Source organism: Homo sapiens, chromosome 10, assembly GCF_000001405.40.
Source record: "Homo sapiens chromosome 10, GRCh38.p14 Primary Assembly".
Lineage (NCBI taxonomy): Eukaryota > Metazoa > Chordata > Mammalia > Primates > Hominidae > Homo > Homo sapiens.
In genome coordinates, this window is record NC_000010.11 from 54,001,311 (window position 1) to 54,019,928 (window position 18,618).

The following is an 18,618-nucleotide window of genomic DNA, read 5'->3' on the forward strand; positions in this document are numbered from 1 at the left end:
GTGTATAAAATATTCTTATGTTAAGTAGAAAGACTAAATTATGAAACAAAAATAACTACAATCACTTTTCAAGACATAGTAAAATAAGGTATAAATAGAAACAATAAAAACTTAAAAAGCATGGAGATGAAGTATAGAGTTTTTATTAGTTATTTTTTCTTGTCTGTTTATGCAAACAGTGTTGTTATCAGCTTAAATAAAGGGTTGTATGATAGTATTTGCAAGCTTGATGATAACCTCAAACCAAAAAATGTACAATAGATACATAAAAAATAAAAAGTCAACAAAATCAAAGCACCAGAGTATACTACCTTCACTTAAAGGAAGACAGGAAGGAAAGAAAGAAAGAAGACAAACCATAAGACAACCAGAAAGCAAATAACAAAATGGAAGCAATAGGTCCTTAGTTATAAAAAATAACATTGAATGTAAAGGGATTAAGCTCTCTAATCAAATGACATAGAGTGGATGAACGGATTAAAGAAAAAAAAGACAAAATGATCTGTTGCCTACAAGAAACACACTTCACCTATAAAGACACACATAGACTGAAAATAAACACATGGAAAAATATATTCCATGCTAATGGAAACCAATAAACAGCAGGAATATCTGCAATTACAGGAAACAAAACAGATTTCAAGACAAAAACTACACAGAGAGACAAAGAAGGTCACTATATAATGATAAATGTATCAATTTATCAGGAAGATATAACAATTGTAAATATATATACATATATGTATATATATACATGTATATATATACATATATGTATATATACATGTGTATACATACATATGTATTCAGTGTGTGTGTGTATATATATATACACATACACACACACATATATATTTTCAACATTGGAGAGCTCAAATATATAAAGCGAATATTATTAAAGCTAAAGAGCCAGATACATCCCCAAACAAAAATAGCTGGAAACTTCAACATCCCACTTTCAGCACTGGACAGATCTTCCAGAAAGAAAATCAACAAAGAAACATCAGACCTAATCTCCACTGTAGAACAAATGGATCTAACAGTTACTCATAGAGCATTTCATCCAACACCTGCAGAATACACATTCTCCTCAGCACATGGATCATTCTCAAATACAGGCCATACCTTAGGTCACAAAACAAGTCTTAACACATTAAAAACTTTGAAATAATATCAAGTATCTTCTCTGACCACAACAGAATAAAACTAAAAATCAATAACAACATAAATTTTGGAAATTATACTAACACATGGAAATTAAACAATACATTACTGAATAACCAGGGGTCAATGAGGAAATTGATAAGAAAATTGAAAACTTTTTTGACCAAATGATAATGAAAATACAAAGTATCAAAACCAATAGTGAGGTGTGGAGTTGGCAGGACTTCCTGGGTTGATTTGGGGACTTTCACAAAAGACCCCTGTGACTCAGGGTTTTGAGTTCTTAATCAATAAAGTGAAGGATTCAAAGTTAACCACTCCAAGGGAGGATTGAAAAAAGAGCCACTCTCAATGGACAAAAAGAAAGAAAGGGGAGGGGGTAACACAGGGATATAAGTCCTAGCCACCACAGCCAGCAGTGGCAACCCTTCCAGGTCCCCTTCCACCATGTGGAAGCTTCCCTTTCGCTTTGTTCAATAAACTGTGCTGCTGCTCACTCTCCTGGTCTGTGGACTCTTTTTGAGTTGTAACACTCACTGTGAAGGTCCGCAGCTTCATTCTTCGAAGTTAGCAAGACCACGAATCCATCAGCAGGAAAAACTCTTGATTCAATAGGATATACTGAAATTTTTACTACGTGGGAAATTTATAGCTATAAGTGCCTACATCATGAAAGGAAAAAAACTTCAACTAAACAAAACAACCTAATGATGCATCTTTAAAAACTAGAAAAGCAAGAGCAGGCTGAAGCCAAAATTAGTAGAAGAAAATAAATAATAAAGATCAGAGCAGAAATAAATGGATTTGAAATGAAGAAAACAATAAAAAGATCAATGAAACAGAAAGTTTGTTTTTTTAAAAAGTTATATAAAATTGACAAACCTTTAGCCAGACTAACTAAAAAAGAAGAGAGAAGACCCAAATAAATAAAGTCAGATATGAAAAAGAAAACATTACAACTAATACTGCAGAGATTCAAGGGATCATTAGTGGCTACTATGAACAAACATATGTCAATAAATTGGAAAATCAAGAAGAAACAAATAAATTCCTAGACACACACAACCCATCAAGATTGAACTATGAAGAAATCCAAAACATTGAACAAACTAGTATCAAGTAACAAGATATAGCAAATAACAAGTATCAAGCTGTAATGAAAAGTCACCTAGCAAAGGAAAAGCCAGAACCTGATGGTTTTGCTACTGAATTCTACCAAATATTTAAAGAAGTACTAATACTAATCTTACTCAAACTATTCCAAAAAAAAAAAAAAAAAAAAAAAAACAGGAGGAGGGAATACTTTCAAACTCATTCTATAAAGACAATAATACTGATACCAAAGCTAGACAAAGAGACATCCAAAAAAGAAACTATAGGCAATCTCCTTGATGAATATTGATGCAAAATTCCTCAACAAAATAATAACAAAGAAATTCAACATCGTATTTAAAAGATCATTAATCATGACCAAATAAGATTTATCTCAGGGATACTAGGATGGTTCAATATATTCAAATCAATCAATGTGATATATCATCAACAGAATGAAAGAGAAAAACCATATGATCATTTCAATTGATTCTGAAAAAGCATTTAATAAAATTCAATGCTCTTTCATGATAAAAACCCTCAAAAACTGGGTGTAGATGGAACATACCTCAACATAATAAAAGTGATATATGACAAACCCGTAGCTACTCCCATACTGAATGAGGAAAAACTGAAAGCCTTTCCTGTACGATCTGGGACACAACCAGGATGCCCACTATCACCACTGTTATTCAATATAGTACTGGAAGTCTTAGCAAGAACAATCAGAAAAGAAAACAAAATAATGATCATCTAAATTGGAAAGGAAGAAGTCAAATTATCCTTGTTTGCAAATGATAAAATCTAACACTTGGAAAAACCTAAAGACTACACACACACACACACACACACACACACACCACACAAAGTATTAGAACTGATAAATTTAGTAAAGTTGCAAGATACAAAATCAACACAGAAAAATCAGTAGCATTTCTATATGCCAACAGTGAACAATCCGCAAAAGAAATCAATAAAGTAATCCCATGTAAAACAGCTACAATTAAAATAAAATACCTAGGAATTAACCAAGGAAGTGAAAGTTCTCTGCAATGGAAACTATAAAACATGGATTCAAGAAAATGAAGAGAACACAAAAGAATGAAAAGATATCTCATGGTCATGGATTGCAATAATCAATATTGTTAAAATGTCCATACTACTCAAAGCGTTCTACAGATTCAATGCAATCCCTGTCAAATACCAATGACATTCTTCAAAGAAACAGAAAAAAAATTCTAAACTGTGTATGGAAGTACAAAAGACCTAGATAGCCAAAGCTATATTAAACAAAAGGAAAAAAAAAAACACCTGGAGGAATCACATTATCTGACTTTAAATAATATTACAGAGCTATAGTAAACAAAATAGGATGGTACTGGCATAAAAAAAAAAAACACACATATATCCATGGAACAGAATTGAGAACCCAGAAATAAATTTACACAACTACAGCAAAGTCAATTTTGACAAAAGTGCCAGGAATGTAACCAGGGAAAGGACAGTCTCTTCAATAAATGATGCCAGGAAAACTGGATATCCATATGCAAAAGAAGAAATTAGGCCCCATCTCATGCCATATACAAAAATCAAATCAAAATTGATTAAAGATATGAATCTAAGACCTCAAACTATGAAATGACTGAAAGAAAACATGCGGAAACTCTCCAGGAGATAGGACTAGGCAAAGATTTCTTGAGTAATACCTCACAAGCACAGGCAACCAAAGAAAAATGAACAAATGGGATCACATCAACTTAAAAAGCTTCTGCACATCAAAGGAAAGAATCAACAAAGTAAAGAGACAACCCACAGGGTGAGCGCAAATATTTGCCAACTACCCATCTGACAAGGAATTAAACAGAATATATAAGCAGTTCAAACAACTTTGTAAGAAAATATCTAGTAATCTGATTTTAAAATGGGCAAAAGTTCTAAACAAAAATTTCTCAAAAGAAGACATACAAGTGATAAACCGGTATATAAAAAGGTGCTCAACATCATTGATCATCAGAGAAATGCAAATCAAACTTACAATGAGACACCATCTTACACCAGGTAGAATGGCTTTTATCTAAAAGTCAGGCAATGGCAAATGCTAATAAGGATGTGGAGAAAAGGAACCCTCACACACTGATGGTGGGAATGCAAATTAGTACAACCACTATGGAGAACAGTATGGAAGTTCCTATAAAACTAAAAATAGAGCTATCATACGATCCAGAAATCCCACTACTAGATACATGGCCAAAAGAAAGGAAATCAGTATATGAAAGAAATATCTGCACTCCCATGTTTATTGCAGCACTATTTACCATGGCCAAGATTTGGAAGCAACCTAAGTGTCCATCAACAGAATAATGGAGAAAGAAAATGTGGTACAGGTACACAAGGGAGTACTATTTAACCATAAAGAAGAATGAGATCCTATAATGTGCAACGACATAATCAATGAAGGTTAAAAGTATATGAGAGAGGCACTTTCTGGTGTCTCCCAGAAACCAGTGGGTGATATTTATGGAGCCATGGGAGAGATTCTTTACTACGTAGATATACTATTTTTAATCCTGGACATGCACATTTTCTTTGTTTTCTCTGGTTTGGATTTTTATAGGAAATATGTTATATCTTAGTCCTAAAACTCTAGAATAGTAGAATTAAAGATATTTTCTCCTGCTATCACCAAGTTCACTGACAAATATAATATAAAGAACACACCAATAGGAATCTGAAAATGCGGACTAGAAGAGAGGGAAACATTTGAAAGCCATACTTCAAAGCAACCCCAACAGAACAATTAGCAAGTTGTAAAAAACAATATTAAATCTGACCATACACCAACTAGCTGGTTCACAGAAATTATCATTTATTCAAATTCCCACCTCCAGACAATACCTCTTACCTCCATACAATAGGTATGCTGTAGATGAAATGTCCAGAATTTCTGTTTTGTTTGAGTCTGGGACAACCTCCTGGTCTCTCAAGCATCAGCTTTTCTGATGAAATCAAAAGCAGGACCCTATCAACACTGTCATGATGGAGCATCAGTAGCACGTAACTGCCTCTCAGGTGTCCACGGTTTCACAAATGCTGCCTTGGTACTGGGCACTGAGTTTTCATCTAGAAAAGCTATCCTTTTTCTTCTATTCTATGGGGTAGCAATATTTCTTTCTGGAGAAGAAAACTCCTCTGAAAGGTGGAAATCTTAGCTTCATTTTCCAAGACTCACTGTGTTTAACAACAACCTCAGCCCTTGTTACAAGGTGAACCTGATGATACTTCATTTCTCGTCATTTCACCCCTCCCTGCCTACTCCCACACCTGCACACTAAGACAGGCAAACACAACCAAGGGTCAATCTAGTCTCCCGTCTTCACAGAAGCATGTCTCCCTCTCTCCTACTCCCATGCAGCCATTCTATCCAAAATTATAATGAGCAAAATGACTTGGGTCATCTGTTTATCTCAGACAAGTTCTTTATACTCCTTATAATGCTGCTTAGTATAATATATCCATTTACATATTCAGCTTTTCAGATTCATATTCAGTTTTCAGTTTGCTGTAGAACAGCCCTTTTCTTTCTGTGTATTTTCTATATTATGTTACAACGCAGACTCTAAGACCAGGTTTCTATTATAACTTAGTTTGTAAGGCTAGTTATCACTCTGGATCTTTTAAAATTGTTTAGAATTTTATTTTCACTTTCCAGAGATTTGCTTATATCATCTAATTTACTATCATCACAGATTCAGTTCTTCTAAATATTTAGTATATCTAGAAATATACAAGAAAAATATTTACAAGTAAAATACACAAGAAAATATCTCTAATTTACTATCATCACAGATTCAGTTCTTCTAAATATTTAGTATATCTAGAAATATACAAGAAAAATATCTACAAGTAAAATACACAAGTAAATATCTTGTATATACAAGGAAAAAGCCTTGTTACATTGATGTTCTATAAAATCTTTTCAAGAAAAAATGTATGTTATTTGTTTGATCATCACAGGTTTTGTTTTGGATTCTTAAAACTTGACACTAAGAAAGCTGTGTGCAGATGTCTTGATAAAAATTTTTATTTATACTGTGGAAATATTGTTTTTCCAAATAATACTTGAATTTTCCCATTCTTGCTCCAATTTTAAACAGGTTTGATGGACTAGGCATTAAACACTTCATCTTTTATTTTTTCCTCTTGTTTACAAAAGAAATTATGTTTCTGCTCATTTTGAAAGAAAGAACTTCAAGATGTTTTCCTGTGGTGACTTTTTGGGTCCAAGTATCTCCTAGCGAATACCATACAATTATGTTATCAACAAAACAGCTTTTCAGTACTGCGAGTAATTAGACCAAGTATAGACAATTTGAAAAGCTGGTAAAGACTACATTTGTAGAGAACTGAGAATTGTACTCCATTCTTCTCTTAAAAAAAGGATAATAATATTTTATGGGCCTCAGTAGTATATACTAGAATTTTAAAGTTATATTTGTGATAATCCCCACCCTGAGTTATCAGAAAAGAGGAAAGCAAGTGTCAGTCTACATTTGGGAGAATTTCCTACAAATTTTATTATGCTTAGATGAACTTGGAATAAAAAAGTGGTATTACATATGTCTAGAGTTAAATGTTAAGTTTTGCTTTAAATGTATAATAAATAGGCAATGACTTTGCATGAGTCAGGACGCCTTGACCAAAGGAATGGTGTGATTTCTCTAAATAAGATAAAGCAATTGATACAACACGAATTAAACCAACACTCTTCTCTATCTGAGGAATAAATTATCTTCCAGCTGCTGATGTAGAAGCGTTAAGTAATACCCCCATATTGAAATAAAGGGATGTTGAGGCAACATTAAGAACTTTTTTAAAGAGGTATGAGGCCCAGATACAGAATGAGGGTTACTTAGGGCATATCTTGCTTTTTGAGGTGATAATTTTGGACATAATTTAACTCCCCTAACATTTTCCATCAAAACAAGCCAAGCAAATATATCCAAATTGAATCCAGAGCTGCCAAGTCAGAATCTATGAGTGTTTACCATAACTGTCTGTCATCAACCACACCCTCATCAGAGAAAAGGCCACACCATTTGAGGATCTATTTTTCGATCTGGGAAGAAAAGGGGAAATGTCATTAATAGCAAGTCTTTTTTTTCTCTTCTTTGTCCAAAATCATCAATAAATGAATTATTTTTCTATTTTTAATGTTTTAACTGTTCAATTCCACCAAGTCATATGAGTAGACAAGAGTAAACCAAGGCAAATTTTTCACCTGGTCCAGAAGATATTTTGCTATTTAGTCTATATAGATCACTCTCACCTTAGTCTTTTTCATCTGCTTACATATTATGGCATCTTCATAACCACCAATATTATATTCCCTAAATATTTTTGTAACAGATTTCTAAATGTTATAACACAATAGTGTGACAAAATCATATTTCAAAATACAATACAATCAAAGCCCTCCCTTCAGGCAATCCATAATTTTGTCTTGTCCCTTGATCCTTTTTCCAGACCACTAGAGCACTGATAATTATTGTCTCGGGAAAGAGAGGTATGAAAAGAAAAATCAGGTTACCCCAGAAAAGATTTTGACAGTTTGAGTTCCTATTTCCAAAGAAAATTTAGTACTGAATAAAGTTTTAATTTCCTGAAATAGACACATTTCTTACCTCCTGAAATAAATATCTTAGGACAGAGAGACACAAGAACGGAATAATTAAGTATATAGACATGTGGACCCCCGAGAAATAAAGAACCCAGATCCTGATAAAACTCTCCCAACAGGTTTAGGGTGTCCGAGGATGGAAGGAGCTTACGATCTCCATTCCAAGGTAGTTTAGAGGTGGAAACAGTATCCATAGAAGAAATGGCATCAATTTGTGTGCTAGCAGATAATCCAGGTCAAGTGTAAAAAAAGACAGCGAAAGAGGTGGGGGCCAAGAGAACTAACTAGAGGGAGCTGGTGTGTGTCAATCTCATTGAGAAAAGAAAGGCTGGCGAGTGGACACTAGCTCATCTGAAAAATCCAGGTGGAGACACACTGGAATTCATCAGGAAACAGCATAACACATAGAGAACAGAGGAGAGCAAGACAAGACAACTGCCCACCCTGGGGTGGCACAGAGTCAGGGGAGTCCTCCCACTGTGGAGAAACAGTGAGTAAGTGAGTCCCTGGGGACCCACCTTCTGCCATGGACTTTTGCATCCCTGGACTCAGGAGATCTCCCCCATGAGCTCCCCACCGGTGCCTCCAGGCTGACACGGAGAACCATGTGGAGTCTTGGCAGAGCCATACTCAGGCACACAGGGAGTCCCAGGAGACTTGTATCCCCAGACACTCTGGCACCAGTGGCTGTAGCTCCTGCAGCAGTGGAGGCCAGACTTGCATGCCTCCAGTAAAGGGGCCAAATCCACGAGGCTGAGCAGTGAAACATTGCAGGCCTCATCTCAGCTGCACCTTGCAGGATAAGGCCTACTGTCCATTCCAGCCCCACCTGAGTTCCTGGGTCGGGAGCAGCTCTGTACTTCTCTGGGACGGAGCTCCCAGAGGGAGAGGCTGGCTGCCATTTTTGCTGCTCTGCAACCCTCCCTGTTTTTGCTCTTAGGCTTGGGAGGGACAGGGATTAGGGACTAATGCCGACCCCCAACACAGCGCAGTTTCCTTACAGAAAAGCGGGTAGGCTGTTTTCCATGTGGGTCCACACCCTTGCTACTTCTCACCGGGCAGGGCTTCCCAACCTAGGACCTCGGCAACCCCCGACCTGGGCTCTTGGGCCAGTAGCAGCTCTGTACTTTCCTGGGACAGAGCTCCCAGAGGGCAAGGCAGGTCACCATTTTTTGCTGCTCCACAGTCCTCATTCCTGTTGCCCTCAGGCTCAGGAGGGAATGTGGTGGTTGGAGACTGATGCAAACGCCCAGCACAGCACGGCAGCATTACAGAAAAGCAGCTAGACTGCTTTCTATGCAGGTCTCTGCCTCTGCTACTCTTTACTGCCCAGTGCCTCTGGACTTGGGCCCCTAGCACAACCACCTTGTCAATGCCTAACACTTCAGTCAGTGGTGAGAAAACCCCAGAGACAATCCACAACCTCTCTGTGACTGCAGCTACCCTTGGGCTGGGGAGGAACAAAGGGCTTGGCCACTATGCAGGAACTCCAGCACACCACAGCCACAATATGGACAGAAGCCCAGTGTCTGTTTCCCGTGAGCCCCCACCTCTCACTCTTTACCAGGCAGTGCCTAAGCTCGGGAGCACGGAACAGCCACCCCATCTCCAGCTGAGCATTCTCACTGCTAGTGGCTTTGTGTTTCCTTAAGGAGGGGCTCCTACAGTCAACTAACAGCCACTCTGCCACTGCCACAGCAGTAGTTCTGCCCCTGCTGCCCTTGGACTGGAGAAGAAAGAAAGGGCCAAAGGTTTTACTCACTCTTCCAGGAGGACACAGTCATCATATAGAGAGAAGCCCAGACTGTCCTCCCTGTGAATCCTCAACCTCCCGTTCTTTACCCAGCTCAGGCCAGCAGTGCAGCCACCCCACTCCCTGGCTGGACATTCCCAGTAGGAGCAGTTTTGAGTTTCCCTCAGGTTGAGCACCCAGGGACAACCGAAAGCCCCTCTACCACTGCTGCTGCAGTGATATTGCCCTTGCTGCCCTCAGACTGTGGAGGGAGCAAAGACCCTGAGTGCTTTAGCCACACCTCCAGACAGCTGCATCACCCACAAGCTTGGTCCTACAATGCAGCCACCACACCCCAGGCTGACTGTACTGATTAGTAGTGGCTCTGTATTTTTCTGGGGTGGAGCACCAAGAGACAAGTGAAAGGCCATCTGCCACAGCCACAGCCAAGGTCCCTTCCCTTGTTGTGTCTAAGCTGGGGAAAGAACATAAAGCCTGAGCTTGCCCCAGAGCTACAATGTGTAGCCTGGGAGTGCCAAACAGATATACAGCCAGCAGTCAAGTGCAAAAGGAGCCGACACTTTCAGATCACTGAGAAGGGGCACAACAATCCTTAGGAAATAGAGGAGACTGACGAAGAGTCTACCTACTGGCCATTCCAGTTAAGTGCCATCTGCTGGATCACAGCCCAAACTTTACTATTAAAAATATTTTGCTAATATATTCTTCTGTGAAACCAAGGACAAGAGCTCAGTTACAAATAAAGGTCATGCACAAAACCTCACTCCTCTGAAAACATCTAAATAAACCAACTGACTGTACTCAAATTAGACAGTTGAAAGAACATCAGCGAACACAGATGAGAAAGAACCAGTGCAAGAACTTTGGCAACTCAAAAAACAAGTGTCTTCTTTCCTCCAAACAACTGTACTAGTTCCCTAGCCAGGATTCTTAACTCAGCTGAAATAGTTGAAATGAAAGAAATAGAATTCAGAATATGGGTAGGAATGAAAATCATTGAGAATCAGGGAGGAAGTCAAAATCCAAACCAAGGAAACTAAGGATTACAATAAAACAATACAGGAGCTGGTAGATGAAATGGCCATTATAAGAATGAACCAAAATGATCTGATAGAGCTGAAAAACACACTACAAGAGTTTTATATTGTGATTGCATTAACAGCAGAAGAGACCAAACTAAGGAAAGAATCAGAGAGCGTGAAGACTGGCTCTCTGAACTAACTAAGAAGGACAAAAGTAATAATTAAAAAAAGAATAAAAAAGAATGGACAAAACCCCTGAAACATATGGGATTATGTGAAGAGACCAGATCTACCCCTCATTGGCGTCACTGAGGGAAATGGGGAAAAAGCAGGCAACTTGGAAAACATATTTCAGGATATTGTCCATGAAAACTTCCCAACCTCACTAGAGAGGCCAATATTAAAATTTAAAAACTGCAGAGAACTGCAAGATACTATATAAGAAGACAATCCCCAAAACACATAATTATCAGATTCTCTTTCATTCTTTTTAAAATGAAAGAAAAAAATATAAAGGCAGCTAGAAAGAAAGAGCAGGAAACCTACAAAGAGAACCCATCAGGCTAACAGTGGACCTTTCAGCAGAAACCCTATAAGCCAGAAGAGATTGGGGGCCTATGTTCAGCATTCTTAAATAAAAGAATTTCAACCCAAGAATTTCATGTCCAGTGAAACTGAGCTTCATAGGCAAAAAAGAAATAAAATACTTTTCAGACAAGCAAATTCTAAGGGAATTTATTACAACCAGGCCTGCCTTATAAGAGCTCCTGAAAGGAGTGCTACATGTGAACAGCCACTACAAAAACACACTTAAATACACAGATCTCTGACACTATAAAGCAATGACATAAGTCTACATAATATCCAGCTAACAATATGATGACAGGCTCAAATTCACACACATCAATATTAACACTGAATGTAAATGGGCTAAATGACACAATTTAAAGCTGGATAAAGAAGCAAGGACCAACGTTATGCTGTCTTTAAGAGGCCCATCTCACATGCAATGACATCCATAGGCCCAAAGTAAAGGTTTGGAGAAAAGTCCACCAAGAAAACAGAAAATAGAAAAAGCTGAAGTTGCTATCCAAATTTCAGACAAAAAGAGACTTTAAATCAACAAACATCACAAAAGACAAAGATGAGCCTTACATAATGGTAAAGGATACAATGCAATAAGAAGATCTAAATATCCCAAATATATATGCATCCAACACAGGAGCACCCAGATTCATAAAGCAAGTTCTTACAGACCTACAAAGAGACTTCGATTTCCACACAATAGTGGGACATTTCAATACCCCATGGACAGTAATAGACAGATGATGGAGGTGACAAAGTGAAAAAGATATTTAGGACCTGAATTCAACAATTGAACAAATGGACATAATAGACATCTATAGAACTCTCCACCCAAAAACAACAGAATATACATACTTCTCATCACCACATGGCACATACTTTAAAATTGACCACACAATTGGACATCAAAACAATCTGTAACAAATTGAAGAAGACTAAAATCATACCAACCACACTCTCTGAACATGGTGCAATAAAAACAGAAATCAATACTAAGAAAAACATTCAAAACCATACAATTACATGGAAATTAACCACTTGTTCCTCAATTATCTCTGGGTAAACAATAAAATTAAGGCAGAAATAAAATATTTCAAACTAATGAAAACAAAGATCCAGCATACCAGAATCTCTGGGGCACAGCTAAAGCAGTGTTAAGAAAGAAGTTTATAGCACTAAATGCCCACATTAAAAAAGTCAGAAGGATATCAAATGAACAATCTAGCATCACATCTACAGGAACTAGAGAAACAAGAGCAAACCAAACTCAAAGCTAGCAGAAGACAAGAAATAACCAAAATCAGAGCTCAACTGAAGGAAATTGAGATGCAAAGACCATATAAAAGATAAATGAATTTAGGAATTATCTTAGTTATTTGAAAGAATTAATTAGATAGATGGATGAATAGCTAGACAAATAAGAAAAAAAAAGAGAAGATCCAACTAAACACAATCAGAAATGACTGACTGAATGAAAAAAGACATTACCACTGACCCCACAGAAATATAAAAGAACACTCAGAGACTATGAACACCTCTGGGTACACAAGCTAAGAAACCCAAGAGGAAATGGATACATTCCTGGAACCATTCAACCTCCCAAGTTTGTGTTAAAAAGAAACTGAATCCCTAAACAGACCAATAATGAATTTTGAAATTGAATCAGTAAATAAAGAGCCTACCAACTAGGAAAAGCCCAGGACCAGTTAGATTCACAGCCAAATTCTACCACATGTATAAAGAGCTGGTACCATCCCTACTGAAACTATTCCAAAAAATTGAGGAGGAGGCATCCCTCCCTCACTCTATGAGGCCAAAATCATCTTGATACCAAAACCTGGCAGAGACACAACAACAACAAAAAAGAAAACTTCAGGCCAATATCTTTGATGAACACAGATCCAAAAATCTTCAACAAAATACTGGCAAACCAGCAGCACATTGAAAAGCTAATCCACCACAGTCAAGTAGGTTTTATGCCTGGGATGCAAGGTTGGTTCAATATAGGCAAATCAACAGAAGTGATTCACCACAGAAACAGGACTAAAAACAAAAACTACATGATCATCTCACTAGATGCAGAAAAGGATTTCAATAAAATTCCACATACTTTCATGTTAAGAACGCTTAACAAACTAGGCATTGAAGGAACATACTTTAAAATAATAAAAGCCATCTATGACAAATGCACAGCCAACGTCACACTGAATGGGCAAAAGCTGGAGGCATTCTCCTTGAAAAGAGAAACGAGATAAGGATGTCCTCTCTTATTGCCACTCATCATAGTAATGGAAGTCCTGGCTAGAGCAATAAAGCAATAGAAAGAAAGAAAACCCACCCAATTAGGAAGAGAGGATGTCAAACTACCCCTGTTTGCAGATGATATGATTCTACACCTAGAAAACCCCATAGTCTTTGTCCAAAACTCCTTGATCTAATAAACAACTTCAGCAAAGTTTCAGGATACCAAATCAATGTACAAAAATCAGTAATAGCATTCCTATGTACCAACAACATCCAAGCTGAGGGCCAAATCAAGAATGCAATCCCATTTGCAATAGTTACACAAAAAAGTACCTAGGAATACAACTAACCAGGTGGTGAAAAATCTCTACAATGAGAATTTAAAATATTGCTCAGTGAAATCAAAGATGACAGAAACAAATTGAAAAACATTCCATGCTTGTGGATAGAAAGAATCAATATCATTAAAATGGCCATACTGCCCAAAACAAAGTACAGATTCAATGCTATTCCTATTAAACTACCAAAGGCATTATTCACAAGAAAAATGTATTCTAAAATTCATATCAAACCAAAAATAAGCTTGAATAGCTAAGACAATCCAAAGCAAAAAGAAAAAAGCTGAAGATATCACATTTCTTGACTTCAAACTATACTACAATGCTACGGTAACCAAAACGGCATTGTCCTGGTACAAAAGCAGACATATAGACCAATGGAACAGAATAGAGATCCCAGAAATAATGCTGCATACTTATAAGCATCTGATGTACAACAAAATAAATAAAAACAAGCAATGGAGAATGGACTCCCTATTCAGCAAATGATGCTGGGATAACTGGCTATACATATGTAGAAAAATGAAACTGGACCCCTTCCTTACACCATGTACAAAAATCAACTCAAGACGGATTGAAGACTTCAATGTCAAACCTAAAACTATAAAAACACAAAGATAACCTCGGAAATATCATTCTGGACATAAGCCCTGGCAAAGATTTCATAACAGAGATGCCAAAAGCAATTTTAACAACAGCAAAAATTGACAAGTGTGACTTAATTAAACTAAAGAGCTTCTGCATAGCAAAAACAAAACAAAACGAAACAAAAAAACTATCAACAGAGTAAACAGGCCACCTACAGAATGGGTGAAAATGCTTACAAACTACGCATCTGACAAAGGTCAAATATCCAGAATCTATAAGGAACTTACAAATCAACAAGCAAAAAGCAAACCTCCCACTTAAAAAGTGGGCAAAAGATATGAACGCACACTTTTCAGAAGAAGACATACATATGGTGAACAAGGATATGAAAAAATGCTCATCATCACTAATCATGAGAGCAATGCAAATCAAAACCACAATGAGATACCATCTCACACCAATCAGAATTGCTATTAAAAAGTAAAAAAGAAAAAAAAAAACATGCTGGTGAGGTTGAGGAGAAAATGGAACAAAGCAGTTTGGTGATTTCTCAAGGACCTCAAAGCAAAATGACCATTTGACCCAGCAATCCCATTTTTAGGTATATACACAAAGATAAACAAATTGTTGTACCATAAAGACACATGCACATGTATCATTAGTATCATGCTATTCACAGTAATAAAGACATGAAATCAATCAACCTAAATGCCCATCAATGGTAGACTAAATAAAGAAAATGTGGCACATATATGCCATGGAATAACTATGCAGCCATAAAAAAGAATGAGATCATGTCCTTTGCAGCAACATGGATGCAACTAGAAGCCATTATCCTAACTGAACTAACATAGGAACAGAAAACCAAATACTGCATGTTCTCACTTAGAAGCTGAAGGTAAACGTTGAGTACATAGGGACACAAAGATGGGAACAACATACATTGGGGGCTGCTTGAGGGTGGACAGATGGAGGAGAGTGAGGATAAAAAAACTACCTATAAGGTACTATGTTCATTACCTGAGTGGCAAAATAATCTGTACAGTCAAACCCTGTGACACACAATTTACCTGTATAACAAACCACACATGTATCTATGAACCTAAATTAAAAGCTTTAAAGAAAGAAAAGTGTTGGAAATTACTCAGAATCATTTGAATTACTCACCCGACCATTCCCTAAACCTTTTGAATTAAAATAATAATATGTTTTCAGTTACAAGAGACAACATATGTTAAGATATAACATTTATTTTATTTTATTTTTTGAGACGGAGTTTCACTTTTGTTGCCCGGGCTGGAGTACAGTGCTGTGATCTCAGCTCACTGCAACATCCGTCTCCCGGGTTCAAGCGATTCTCCTGCCTCAGCCTCCTGAGTAGCTGGGGTTACAGTTGTGTGCCACCATGCCCAGCTAATTTTTTGTATTTTTAATAGAGGTGGGGTTTCATCATGTTGGCCAGGCTAATCTCAAACTCCTGACCTCAGGTGATCCACCCACCTTGGTCTCCCAAAGTGTAGGGATTACAAGCATGAGCCACCATGCCCAGCCAAGATATAATATGTATTTATCAAAGTTTTATGAGTTACAATAACAAAGACATGGAATCGACCTAGATGCTCATCAACAGTGAATTAGATAAATACAAGGGGGTACATATACACCATGGAACACTATGCAGCCATAAAAAAGAATAAAACCATGTCCTTTGCAGTAACATAGATAACAGCTTGAGGCCATTATCCTAAACAAATTAATTCAGGAGCATAAAACCAAATACTGCATGTTCTCACCTCTAAATGGTAACTAAATATTGGGTACTCCTGGACATAAAAATAGCCACTGAAAATTAATAGACAGAAATTGGGTGGGGTAGGAAGTGAAGAAGCGGGGGTTGAGAAACTAATTATTGGGTACTATATTCACTATCTAGTTGACAAGGTCATTCATATCCCAAACCTCAGCATCATGCAATACACTTATGTAACAAATGTGAACATGTAATGCCTGAATCTAAAATAAAATATGAAAATGTAAAATAAGACACTAAAAAAAGAAAAGGTAGTGGAATACTTCCGTGTTTCACTGTGACTGAAGAATTATCTTAAAAAAATAAAATCCATACCCCAAAATTTTATGGTCAAGAACATTAACCTACTGGAAAAATACAGTTATACTAATTATGTATTGGTGAAATCTTTTTTCACATCATTACTTTGTTGTCTAAGAAAACCACTAGCATATGGCTAGCTATTTAGCAGGATAACAATCATACTGCAACCTAAGAAAAGTGATGATTTCTTCTTCCATCATTTCAAATAAAAGAAAATCTTATTTGTAGTCCCTATAATATGAGAATTGTAGAAAAGTTGCCTATGACCTTCTTTTCCTTAGGACCCTGGATACATATAGTCTTCTACTAAGGTCCCTCAGAGACATTTGTGTTGCACATGCAGAATCTGAATGATCTCACATAATAGCTTTGCTATTGTAGTACTGGCCACTAAACAAAATAAAAATAAAAATAAAGAAAAAGGGAGTAATCCTCAGGAACTTTTATTTTTAGGAATAAATGTATCTGCACTTTCCCACAGTCTTCAGGTAACCAACAGAATCCAAATGATATGGAATTGTCAGTAATTATCATAGGTAAATTCTGCTAAACAATTCACCTTAAACACATAATGGACTTTAACTATAATCACTTCAAAAGAACAAATGAAAAGGCATTCATGGGAACAAAATACAACCTGAAAATATAATACTGGCAAAGATTAAGTGAACATAGATGCCTAGAGTTATCTGCATGATCTCCAGGATTAGATAACCTAACAAAGTTGGTAAGTCATGTAACTTTGATCCCACTCAGCTCTTACACATTTTAGCGACTATATGAAGCATGAATAGTATCACCATGTAGTAGACAATATGTGGTTGCCAATATTTCATTCCAATCCTATGGTATGATCCTGCAACTAAACATTTATTAAAAATGTCCACATCTTTCCACATTTTTCTATCTAAGCCCATAGATTTCATTGTTTTTTAACATAGAAACTTGATATCTATAGTCACTTGGTAAAATCTGAGCCATAATTATCAATTATATTTTTGGGGGTAGAACATAGATACAACTGTGAATAAAATATAAATCAAAACATGTATACTAAAGTTAAATTGTTTATTCAACTAATTACTCATATTCATCTATTTTATTCATGGTCATTGATATACTCTATAGGCTTCTTTGCAAGTGCTTCATTTATCTTATAGATCTTCTGTCTTTTTCCTCCCTCCACTGCCCTTGCTCTGTGCAGGTATCTCTATTCCTTTCTGACCAGCCCTTTTTCATCATTCCAAGTCTATTCAGGAAGCAGAAAAAAACACTTTAAATAAGACTTTTTTAAGTTTCTATTTTCTTCCCTTACCAAAACAAAAATTTTTACAATGTACCATGATAGTGAATGAACTTTTACTTTATATTGCCTAAGAAATTATTGTCATGTAAAGTCATTTTTTAGTAATATACTCATTTAGTAAAGTAACTTGAGGATTTTTGTATATGTATCTTTGTAATTGAAGTAAATTTCTCAATATGGGATTCAGATGTCTTGTATAAGAAACATCTGTGTACTTTTCTCAAATGCTGATGTTTATGATGGTCCCCATGGGACAGGTCCTTCTTTGGGGAAGGAGTAGAGAAATCTGAAAGTTTAAGATGACGCTCAGAGGATCACGGTATGTACTACTATTTGAGAACTGATCAACTTACAGTACTTCTTCTCATATCTACTTTTGTCTCTTAAAAATCACTAGAAATTCAAAAAGTTAAAAATGCCATGCTCTTTCAGGCAATCATCTGGCACATGGTATTATAATAAATGGGATAACAAATCCAGAGAGGTTAACAAAGTCCCCAAGGTCATAGAGCTTAAAAAGGGTTGAGCCAGAATTTAACCTCAATTCCATCTAACTTGGAAGCTTATTTCATTCCAGAGGTTTGGGCCCTAAATTAATTTTAGGGCCTAAGAACTCTTGGCCCTTCAGAGTCATATATAAAATTTTTTTAGTTGAAGGATTTGTACCAAATAATTATGCCTGATGCTGTGGAATTTGAACTAAAATCTAGTCTAGAGAGGTTAGGACTTGATGGAA

The 18,618-nt window shown here is 36.6% G+C and overlaps 1 protein-coding gene across 20 annotated transcripts in view; it reads right to left on the reverse strand.

The window, feature by feature from the left end:
- Nucleotides 1-18,618, reverse strand: part of PCDH15 (protocadherin related 15) — a 1,825,172-nt gene that overhangs the window by 198,540 nt on the left and 1,608,014 nt on the right. The gene's annotated exons all lie outside the window — the stretch shown is intronic.